Source organism: Homo sapiens, chromosome 17, assembly GCF_000001405.40.
Source record: "Homo sapiens chromosome 17, GRCh38.p14 Primary Assembly".
In the NCBI taxonomy this organism is placed as follows: domain Eukaryota; kingdom Metazoa; phylum Chordata; class Mammalia; order Primates; family Hominidae; genus Homo; species Homo sapiens.
The window spans coordinates 42,858,125-42,869,770 of NC_000017.11; the positions used below are offsets into that span (position 1 = coordinate 42,858,125).

An 11,646-nucleotide genomic window follows, 5' to 3' on the forward strand; every position below is an offset into this window, starting at 1 on the left:
CAGGAATTGACTTTTTTTTTTTACTGACACTTTTTTTTTTGGTGGGGAACAGGTTGGGGGTAGGGTAAAGTGGGTTAAGGAATGGGACCAGGGATGAAATTTTCTCCAGTTCTTGAGATCCAGAGAAGCAGGTGTGGCCTCTAGTAACTCCTTTTGCCTTCTCATGCTTGTACATCTTTGAGGAAATGTTAAACCTCGGTTAATTCCCTGACACACACACACCCCACCCTTTCCCTCTCTCCTGTCTTCTCTCTCTCTCAATGAGGGGCAATGAGAAGCAGTGAGGAGGGGTGACTTCTGCTTGCCAGAAGCCCAGGCCAGGGCAGGAGGTAAAGTGCAGGAAACATTCTGGATGCCACTCAGCTTCTGACCAGAAAAAGACCAGAATATGTTCTGGGAGCTCCAGCATCATGGAAGCTTCTGCTACCTTCTGTTCTGCCCCAAGCCCAAGTTCTGCCGTAGGTCAGTGGAACAATGGATGGGGAGGAATCAATGAGCTGGAGAGAAATTAGGCTCTAAAGAACAGGAAGAAAGCCTTCAGTAAGGAGCAGGGGGCCTTCAATGGCATAGTAATTCATAATATGGCCAGGAGTGGAGGCAGGAGTGAAGGAGGACAGGGAGAGATGGAGAGAAGGGCAGACTCAAGACAGAGATGCAGGAGAAAGGGGGATGCTGTGGCCTGCTGGGACACTGATGCAGGCTTCATAATCCCTCTGACCTGAGGACTTGAACTTTCTTTTTTTTTTAATTTTTAATTTTTGAGATGGAGATTCACTCTTGTCACCCAGACTGGAGTGCAATGGCACGCTCTCGGCTCACTGCAACCTCCATCTCCCGGGTTCAAGCGATTCTCCTGTCTCAGCCTCCTGAGTAGCTGGGATTACAGGTGCTGCCACCACGCCCGGCTAATTTTGTATTTTTAGTAGAGACGGGGTTTCACTATGTTGGCCAGGCTGGTCTCGAACTCCTGACCTAAGGTGATCTGCCTGCCTTGGCCTCCCAAAGTGTTGAGATTACAGGTGTGAGCCACTGCACCCGGCCTGAACTTCTCATTTCAATGCATATCCTCTTGTCCCCACCTCCTTACGGCTCTTTCTTATGGCTACTTGCACCATCATCAGTGCTGGGGGAAGGGGAGCAAAGGAATTCAGATATCCACCCCCGCACCCTCACCATCTTGTTCACTGGAATTTAGTTGCCTTGAAACCCATCTCCAGACCAAAGTGTTTGTATGTGTTGTGTGTGTAGTTGTATGTCAATTCTCACAAGCTTTTATATGAAAACGTGACTGGTTGTGTCTGCTTCCTTATATCTCAGCATGGTGATGATGCCACCTGCCCCAGGCCCCAGATGAGGGGAGGCAGAATGGACATCTAGATTGTTAGAACATCAGTTCAGCTCGGGTCAGGAGGGCCGCAAGGTGGACCTCCAGCCCCACACCCCAATCCAATCTCTTCCTTAGACCACAGAAGTTGTCTGGAGTCTTGGCTTCAGACTTGTGGTCAATTGTCTAGGAGTGATTACTGGCTGAGGATGTCAGGTTCTGAAGGAACTGGTGCTGCCAAGGCTCAGATCTTCAGGACTTGGGGCCCAGTGGCCTGAGATAAAGGAGTTGGACAAGGGAATCCCTGAGGCTTGGGTCAGAGGGCATGACTAGGACTTCTCCAGGAATGTGAACATGGCAACCCCCTGTGAGGACATGAGGTGTGCCCACTCGCCTCACCTCTTTTATTTTTTTTATTTTGAGATGGAATTTCACTCTTGTCGCCCAGGCTGGCGTGCAATGGCATGATCTTGGCTCACTGCAACCTCCACTTCCCGGGTTCAAGTGATTCTCCTGCCTTAGACTCCTGAGTAGCTGGTATTACAGGCACCTGCCACTACGCCCGGCTAATTTTGTAGTTTTAGTAGAGACGGGGTTTCACCATGTTGGCCAGGTTGGTCTCGAACTCCTGACCTCAAGTGATCCGCCTGCCTTGGCCTCTCAAAGTGCTGGGATTACAGGTGTGAGCCACAGCACCCGGCCCCCAGTGACTTCTTAAACACAAAATCAACAGGAGCTCCTGGCCGCCTACTTTCTGGACCTCTCGGTGGCGTTTGACAACACCAACTGTCCTCCCTCTTGGAACCCTCTCCCATCTTGACTCTCCCACATTGTCCCCTTTTCATCCATATTTGCTCCTTCTCAGTCTTCTCAGGCTCCTTGACTTCTGCTCCCCCTACCTACTCATGGAGCCCCAAGCTCTTGCCTTTTCTAGGGTTCTGTCCTTGGTCCTCCTTTCTCCTCTCTCCAGAAGTCCTCTGTGGGTGATCTCAGCCTTTCTTTCTTTCTTTTTTTCTTTTCTTCTTTCTTTTTCTTTTTTTCCCCCCTTAAGAAAAGGTCTTGCTCTGTCACCCAGGCTGGAGTGCAGTGGTACCACCATGGCTCACTGCAGCCTCAACCTCCCAGACTGAAGCGATCCTCCCACCTCAGCCTCCCGAGCAGCTGGAATTACAGGCGTGTGCCACCATGCCTGGCTAATTAAAAAAAATTTTTTGTAGGCCAGGCGCGGTGGCTCATGCCTGTAATTGGAGCACTTTGGGAGGCCGAGGCAGGTGGATCACCTGAGGTCAGGAGTTCAAGACCAGCCTGGCCAACGTGATGAAACCCCATCTCTACTAAAAATACAAAAAATTAGCTGGGCATGGTGGCGGGTGCCTGTAATCCCAGCTACTCCGGAGGCTGAGGCAGGAGAATCGCTTGAACCTGGGAGGTGGAGGTTGCAGTGAGCCGAGATCACATCACTGCACTCCAGCCTAGGCAACAAGAGTGAAACTTTGTCTCAAAAAAAAATTTTTTTTGTAGAGACCATGTCTCGCTCTGTTGCCTGGTCTCAAACTCCTGGGCTCAAGTGATCCTCCCACCTCAGCCTCCCAAAGTGCTGGGATTACAGGTGTAAGCCACCACGCCCAGCCAGCCTTTCTTACTTTAACTGTCAATATTTGTCATTGGCCAAATCTCTTTCTACACGTATGTTTTTGGTGTTTTGTTTTGTTTTTGAGAGAGGTTCTCACTGTATTGCCCAGGCTTCAGTGTAGGGGTGCAATCTTGGCTCACTGCAAACTCCACCCTGTGGGCTCAAGTGATCCTCCCACTTCAGCCTCCCAAGAAGCTGGGACCACAGGCATGCACCACTATACCTGGCTAATTTTTTATATTTTTGGTAGATAGGGTTTTGCCATGTTGCCCAGGCTGGTCTTGAACTCCTGAGCTCAAGGAATCTGCCCATCTTGGCCTCTCAAAGTGCTAGGATTACAGGTATGAGCCACCACGCCAGCCTATATATATATGTATTTTTTAAGTTATTGTAGAGATGAGGCCTTGCTATGTTGCCCAGAGTGGTCTTGGACTCCTGGGCTCAAGCCATTCTCCTGTCTCTTCCTCACAAAGTGCTGGAATTACAGGCATGAGGCACCACACTCAACCAAAATAAATCTTTTCTCTGTTTTTTCTTTTTTTAGTGACAAGGTCTTGCTCTGTCACCTAGGCTGAAGTGCAGTGGCACAATCATAGTTTATTGCAGCCTTGAACTCCTGGGCTCAAGCAATCCTCCCGCCTCACCCTCCCAAGTAGCTAGGATGTGCCTGGCTAATTTTTTTTTAATTTTTTGTAGAGATCTCTATATTGTCCAAGCTGGTCTTGAACTCCTAGGCTCATGTGATTCTCGACTCTTGGCATCCCAAAATGAAGGGATTACAGGTGTGAGCTGCTGCACCTGGTCAACATTAGTTGTCTTTTTTTTTCTTTTGAGACAGAGTCTCGCTCTGTCACCCAGGCTGGAGTGCCGTGGTGTGATCTCAGCTCACTGCAACTTCTGCCTCCCAGGTTGAAGCAATTCTCCTGCCTCAGCCTCCTGAGTAGCTGGGATTACAGGTGCCCACCACCATGCCCAGTTAATTTTTGTATTTTTCGTAGAGATGGGGTTTCACCATGTTGGTCAGTCTGTTCTTGAACCTTTGACCTCAAGTGATCTGCCCATCTTGGCCTCCCAAAGTGCTGGGATTACAGGCGTGAGCCACTGTGCCCAGCCCCAACATTAGTTGTCTTAATGGCATGTTCTTAGCCAAGAGCTGGAGGTAACTTCCCCGCTATTGACCATAACCTACCAAAGGACCAGACACAAGTTCCCTGGCTGGGATGGATTGCCTTGTGGCTAGGCCTTGACATTAGATTTTATTTCCTTTATCCTAAAGGTCACACAACTGTTGCAGGACACAGAGGACTAGAGAGACTAGTATGGGTGAATACAGGAGGATATTTATTAGGTGTGTACCAGCTCAGTGGACTCACAGCTAAAAAGCTGAGCACTGAACAAAGACAGAGTTTAGCTTATACAGGCTAGTACACAGAAACAGGACAAAGGCAGTAAACTATGTAGTGACAAGTCACATAATCTATAGCATAACTGTTGACTTGGCATAACTTGTAAAACAGAAACTTATAAATTTTACTGAATACAAGTGTTGGCAAACATAGTCATAATTAATTATTTAAAGGGGAGACAGCAAAGGAATTTGTTCTTCTTTTAACTTTGCTCGGGGGTGTCTGGAGCCTATTTCTGCAGGCTAGGTCACCATGACCTGTCTATAGCCTTGCCTACAGTAGAAGAAAACTTCTGTTTTTCATTTAACCTTTACTTTTCTTGGAGTGAATACATACAGTATTTATTTTCTTTAAATTTCTGATTCACAACCTGTTTCCAATGACCCTTTCCTGCCTTAGTTACAGTAATTCCATTGTCTGTCTTGACTTCAAGAAGCTTTCTAGTTCTTCATCTCCATGTTACTGCTCATTGATGGGAATATTGGGTGTGAGTTTTACTCTCCAACATTCGGGCGTAAGTATTAAATGTCACTTTTCTTTTTGTTTCTTTTTCTGAGATAGCATCCTCCTCTGTTGCCCAGGCTGAAATGTGATGGCATGATCATGCCTTACAGCAGCTAATTCTTTTTTTTTTTTTTTTTTTTAAACTTTTTTGTAGAGATGTGGGTCTTGCTATGGTGCCCAGGCTGATCTTGAACTTCTGGGCTCAAGCAATCCTCCCACCTCACCTTCCCAAAGTGCTGGGATTACAGATGTGAGCCACCATGCCCGGTTACCTTCCTTTCTTTCTTTTTTCTTTCTTTCTTTTTTTTTTTTTTTTGAGACGGAGTCTTGCTCTGTGGCCCAGGCTGGAGTGCAGTGGCATGATCTCGGCTCACTGCAACCTCTGCCTCCCGGGTTCAAGCAATTCTCCTGTCTCAGCCTCCCCAGTAGCTGGGACTACAGGCGCCTGCCACCACACCCAGCTAATTTTTGTATTTTTAGTAGAGACAGGGTTTCACCATATCGGTCAGGCTGGTCTCAAACTCCTGACCTCAGGTGATCCGCCCGCTTCAGCCTCCCAAAGTGCTGGGATTACAGGCATGAGCCACCGTGCCTGGCTTGCTTGCTTGCTTGCTTGCTTGCTTGCTTGCTTTCCTTCCTTCCTTCTTTCTTTCTTTCTTTTTCTTGTCTTTCTCTCTCTCTCTTCCTTCCTTCCCTTGCCTTCCCTTTCTTTCCTTCCTTCCTTTCTTCCCTCCTTCCTTCTTTTCTTCCTTCCTTTCCTCCCTCCTTCCCTTCCTCCCTCCCTCTCTCTCTCCTTCCTTCCTTCCCTCTGTCTCTCCTTTCCTTTCCTTCCTTTCCCTTCCCTTCTCCTTCCTTCCTTCCTTCCTCCTTTCTTTCTTTCTTTCTTTCTTTCTTTCTTTCTTTCTTTCTTTCTTTTCTTCTTTTTCTCTCTTCCTTTCTTTCCTCTTACTTTTTTTCTGAGATAGAGTCTAGCTCTGTCACCCAGGCTGGAGTGTAGTGGCACAATCTTGCCTCACTGCAAACTGCACCTCCCAGGTTCAAGTGATTCTTGTGCCTCAGCCTCCCAAGTAGCTGGGATTACAGACGTGGGCCACCACGCCCAGCTAATTTTTGTATTTTTAGTAGAGACGGGGTTTCACCATGTTGGCCAGGCTGGTCATGAACTCCCAACCTCAGGTGATCCGCCCACCTCAGCCTCCCAAAGTGCTAGGATTACAAGCATGAGCCACCACTCCTGGTCTTTTTTTTTTTAATGTTCAATAACCAGCTCTGTGCCCTCAGCTACTCGGCTGGCAGGAAATTAAACTCCAGGCATGTTTGTTGAGGGTGCTTATCTTTAGGGTTAGGTAAGACTCTGGAATCTGGGAATTTTGGGGACTGTCAGCTAGTCTTCAGTGGACAGTGATCACTGCTGTTAAACTCACTTTCCACTGCCTTGCCAAGTCTTGCCAAGGCGGGGACAGAGGAGGGGCCTAGGCATGAGTTCCACTCTGAGGCTATCACTTCCCTAAGGCCTTGCTGGGCGGGAGAGTGGGCTCTAGCCATTCTTTCCCTCCATACACACACACACGCATACACACACAGACAGACACACACACACACACTCCCTACTTGTGAATCCCACAAAATTCCCCGAATATCTGCCCTCACTCTGTAGGGGATCTCTCAAAAACCTTCCTCCTTCCCAAGTTGATCCAGGGAGCTGTCATCTGTAATCCAAGAGCTTAGAGAGGCTGCAGCGGGAAGACTGCTTGAGCCCAGGAATTTGAGGCTGCTGTGAGCTATATATGACATCACTGCACTCCATGCACGCTAGCCTGGGTGACAGAGCGAGACCATGTCTCAAAAACAAAACAAAACAAAACAAAACAAAAAAAACCAACTTTTTTTAAAACAGTTTTTTTCATGAAGAGCTTCTACAGAGCATAAAAACCAGATCAGCAAGAGAAAATGTGGTTCTTGGTTTCCCTGAGGACAAGAAGGGCTCACATGCCTGGAGGGAGGAGTTGTTATATTGAAATTCCATCCCGCAGGAAAGGGGAGCCCTACTTTTCTTACAGCCTTGAAATGAGCCCCACTACTTCTACAGCTTTAAATAACAAGAGGCCGGGCTCGGTGGCTACGCCTGTAATCCCAGCACTTTGGGAGGCTGAGGCGGGTGGATCACTTGGGGTCAGGAGTTTGAGACCAGCCTGGCCACATGGTGAAACTCCATCTCTATTAAAAATACAAAATTAGTCAGGTGTGGTGACTCGCGTCTGTAATCCCAGCTACTTGGGAGGCTGAGGCAGGAGAATTGCTTGAACCCGAGAGGTGGAGGTTGCAGTGAGCTGAGATTGAGCCACTGCACTCCAGCCTGGACGACAGAGCAAGACTCCATCTAAAATAAAATAAAATAAAGATACAAAAAGTAGCCGGGTGTGGTGGCATACGCCTGTAATCCCAACTACTCTGCAGGCTGAGGCAGGAAAATTGCTTGAACCTGGGAGACGGAGCTTGTAGTGAGCTGAGATTGCACCATTGCACTCCAGCCTGGGCAACAGAGCAAGACTGTCTCAAAAAAAATAAAGTCAAATAAAAGAACAAGAGGCAGGAAAACCAGGCAAGTTTCCTTATCAAAATACAACCAATGGCATAAACATTTCTGGATAGCCTGACCCTTCTGGTGTTGATTTATCTGGAGGGTCCTGGTCTCTGTGTGGTGCTGCCAGTCAAGAGGAATGATGGATATTGTGAAAAACCCAAGGGCAGAGGGGTCGGGGGTGGAGCTAGAGGGGACTAGGAATCAGGTCGTGTTCAGGAGGTGGGGCAGAGTTAAACTTTGACTTTAAATGACCCACATAAGCCTCCGTCCTCCTGTTCCAAATAAAACAACGCACTCAGGGTCAGGGTCAATGACCTGGTCTAGGTTTCCAGGTGTCTGTCTCACTGTCTTTCTGCAATGACTACCTTGCTGAAAACATGCGCCACGCGTCTTCATGATCTTACCTCCTCTGCTTACTCCCCTCCTCCCCAACTCCCACCAAATAGGCTGATCCTTGGCTGTTCCCTGCTTGTGCTGAGCTGTTTCAGGTTTCTGTGCCTTTGCTGGAATATCCTTCCTCTTCTCTGCCAGGTGAATGCATCATCTTCAAGGTCGGCTCGAACATCTCTTCCTGAGAAGTCTTCCTAGATGTGTCCAGGTTGGAGAGGATTCTTCCCCAGGTACACGAGGGAAGCACATCCCCCTTCTGGAACCCTCAGTCTCTTCCAGTTCCCCTCAGGACCTGGCTGCCCAAATGACAGTGGCTTTCCACATGTTTGTCACCTGGAAAAGAAGCCGCTCAGCCATTGGCTGTGAAGGACAGAGGTGGCTTCACTCTCCATGTCGGCACCATTTTGGAAAAGGATTTTCAGGCCCGAGATAAGTCCACAGCCAGTTTCCCAGCCCCACCTGACCTCTGCCCTGGCCTATCCCTCAGTCCAGTACAAGGGGAGGCATGAAGGTCTCGGTTATACTCTGGTTCCTGCCCCCACACTCACCCCCACCCCAATGAACCAGGCAGCTTCTAGCTTGTTCTGCACCCTGCACACTCCCCTACAGTGACTTAGGGCACTTGGGGCCTCCACAAAGCTGACCTGGCTCAGCCTCTCAGCCCCCCAGCTCCCTGCTAGATGCTTTGCTTTCTCATCATTACCCTCAGGCTTCCCTCAGGCTGCTGCTAGGATTCTAGTGGATGGATGGAGGCAGGAGAGAGAGGTGGGAGGCAGAGCCTGGAGGACATCAAAAACTAGAGGAGGGAAGGAGGGAATCTGGCTGTGGAGGTGTGGCCAGGTGATTTTCCCTTGCAGCCTTGCAGCCAGGAGAAAAGTTCCACCTGGAGGGAAAAGAAAGGAGAGCCGCAGGACAGTCGGCGCCCCCCACTTCCTCTTGCACCTTGCTAGCTCTTATCTCCAAAACACACCTCTCTGCCTACTTGGTTCATTGACCCTGACCCTGAGTACGTTGTTTGATTTGGAACAGGAGGACAGAGGCTTACGTGGGTCATTTAAAATCAAAGTTTAACTCTGCCCCACCTCCTTAACACGACCTGATTCCTAGTCACCTCTAGCTCCACCCCTGACCCCTCTGCCCTTGGGGTTTTTCACAATATCCATCATTCCTCTTGACCAGCAGCACCACACCAGGACCCTCCAGAGGCTGTGAGAAACATCCTGCACCCAGGTCCTCTCTATCTGTTTATCATTGTCTATTTTGTATTCTGCATTCAGAACCAAGAGCCTGAAGACGACCCAGGAGCTTTAGCTATGGCTGTCTTCATTATTTTGTCCCTGTTTAGTGTTCTGGTGACAGGCATGGGTGAAGGTGGGGCTGGGAGTGAGAAAGGAGGTGAGAGGGAATGTAAGCTGAACCAGCTTCCCCATTGCCCCTCCGTATCTCCCAGTGCCCAGCCTTGGACACACCCTGGCCAGAGCCAGCTGTTTGCAGACCTGAGCCGAGAGGAGCTGACGGCTGTGATGCGCTTTCTGACCCAGCAGCTGGGGCCAGGGCTGGTGGATGCAGCCCAGGCCCAGCCCTCGGACAACTGTGTCTTCTCAGTGGAGTTGCAGCTGCCTCCCAAGGCTGCAGCCCTGGCTCACTTGGACAGGGGGAGCCCCCCACCTGCCCGGGAGGCACTGGCCATCGTCTTCTTTGGCAGGCAACCCCAGCCCAACGTGAGTGAGCTGGTGGTGGGGCCACTGCCTCACCCCTCCTACATGCGGGACGTGACTGTGGAGCGTCATGGAGGCCCCCTGCCCTATCACCGACGCCCCATGTTGTTCCAAGAGTACCTGGACATAGACCAGATGATCTTCGACAGAGAGCTGCCCCAGGCTTCTGGGCTTCTCCATCACTGTTGCTTCTACAAGCGCCGGGGACGGAACCTGGTGACAATGACCACGGCTCCCCGTGGTCTGCAATCAGGGGACCGGGCCACCTAGTTTGGCCTCTACTACAACATCTCGGGCGCTGGGTTCTTCCTGCACCACGTGGGCTTGGAGCTGCTAGTGAACCACAAGGCCCTTGACCCTGCCCGCTGGACTATCCAGAAGGTGTTCTATCAAGGCCGCTACTATGACAGCCTGGCCCAGCTGGAGGCCCAGTTTGAGGCCGGCCTGGTGAATGTGGTGCTGATCCCAGACAATGGCACAGGTGGGTCCTGGTCCCTGAAGTCCCCTGTGCCCCCGGGTCCAGCTCCCCCTCTGCAGTTCCATCCCCAAGGCCCCCGCTTCAGTGTCCAGGGAAGTCGAGTGGCCTCCTCACTGTGGACTTTCTCCTTTGGCCTCGGAGCATTCAGTGGCCCAAGGATCTTTGACGTTCCCTTCCAAGGGGAGAGGGTGGCCTATGAAGTCAGTGTCCAGGCGGCCTTGGCCATCTATGGAGGCAATTCTCCTTCTGCTCTACGAAGCCGGTACATAGATAGTGGCTTTGGCTTGGGCCACTTCTCCACGCCCCTGACCCATGGGGTGGACTGCCCCTACCTGGCCACCTACGTGGACTGGCACTTCCTTTTTGAGTCCCAGGCCGCCAAGACAATACGCGATGCCTTTTGTATATTTGAACAGAACCAGGGCCTCCCCCTGCGGCGACACCACTCAGATCTCTACTCCCACTACTTTGGGGGCCTTGCGGAAACGGTGCTGGTCATCAGATCTGTGTCTACTATGCTCAACTATGACTATGTGTGGGATATGGTCTTCCACCCTAATGGGGCCATAGAAATCAGACTCCACACCACCGGCTACATCAGCTCAGCATTCCCCTTTGGTGCTGCCCAGAGGTATGGAAACAAAGTTTCAGAGCACACCCTGGGCACGGTCCACACCCACAGCGCCCACTTCAAGGTGGACCTGGATGTAGCAGGTAAGGCATCCTGGCAGAGGCAAAAGTGCTGGAGGGGTGAGCTGAAGTCTCCATGCCTAGCTTTAAAAGTTTTCGTTGGGCTGGGAGCAGTAGCTTATGCCTGTAAGCCCAACACTTTGGGAGACTGAGGGGGGTGGATCACTTGAGGTCAGGAGTTCAAAACCAGCCTGGCCAACATGGCGAAATCCTGTCTGTACTAAAAATACAAAAATTAGCTGGGCATGGGTATGCTGTAATCCTAGCTACTCGGGAGGCTGAGGCAGGAGAATCACTTGAATCTGGGAGTCAGAGGTTGCAGTGAGCTGAGATTGAGCCACTGCACTCCATCCTGCGTGACTGAACAAGACTTTGTCTCAAAAAAAAAAAGTATTCCATGCTTTAAAAAATTACCTCTGTGATTATAGAATTTATTATATTGTATACTATGTATAAATATGATATATTGATATAAGTATTTAGATTTCTATATTCAAATGTTATCATAATGTACCTACGTTTTGCCACTTCTGTTTTTTCATATAACAACATTATTCAAGCAAGCAACAAAAATGTATGAATGCACACTTGTGCCAAGCACCCAACTATGCAATTTAACAAAAGAAACAACATTGTTGCTCTCAGATGGTTTACATTCTTTTTTTCTTACCTTTTGTTTTTTCTTTTTTCTTTTTTGAGACAGGGTCTCACTCTATCACCCAGGCTGGAATGAGGTAGTGTGATAATAGCTCACTGCAATCTCCAACTCCTGGGCTCATGTGGTCCTCTCACCTCGATCTCCCAAAATGCTGGGATTACAGGTGTGAACCACCATGCTCAGCCCTTATCATTTTTTCGTGGTGAGAACACTTAAAATCTACTCTTAGCAGTTTTCAAGAATATATAACATATTAACTGT

At 49.5% G+C, this 11,646-nt stretch overlaps 1 pseudogene across 1 annotated transcript; it reads left to right on the forward strand.

Annotated features, from left to right (window-relative positions):
- Nucleotides 1-9,020: 9,020 nt before the first annotated feature.
- On the forward strand, nucleotides 9,021-11,093 carry AOC4P (amine oxidase copper containing 4, pseudogene; annotated as a pseudogene). Its single transcript, NR_002773.1, has one exon. The product of NR_002773.1 is annotated as an amine oxidase copper containing 4, pseudogene (transcript).
- The last annotated feature ends 553 nt before the right edge of the window (nucleotides 11,094-11,646 follow it).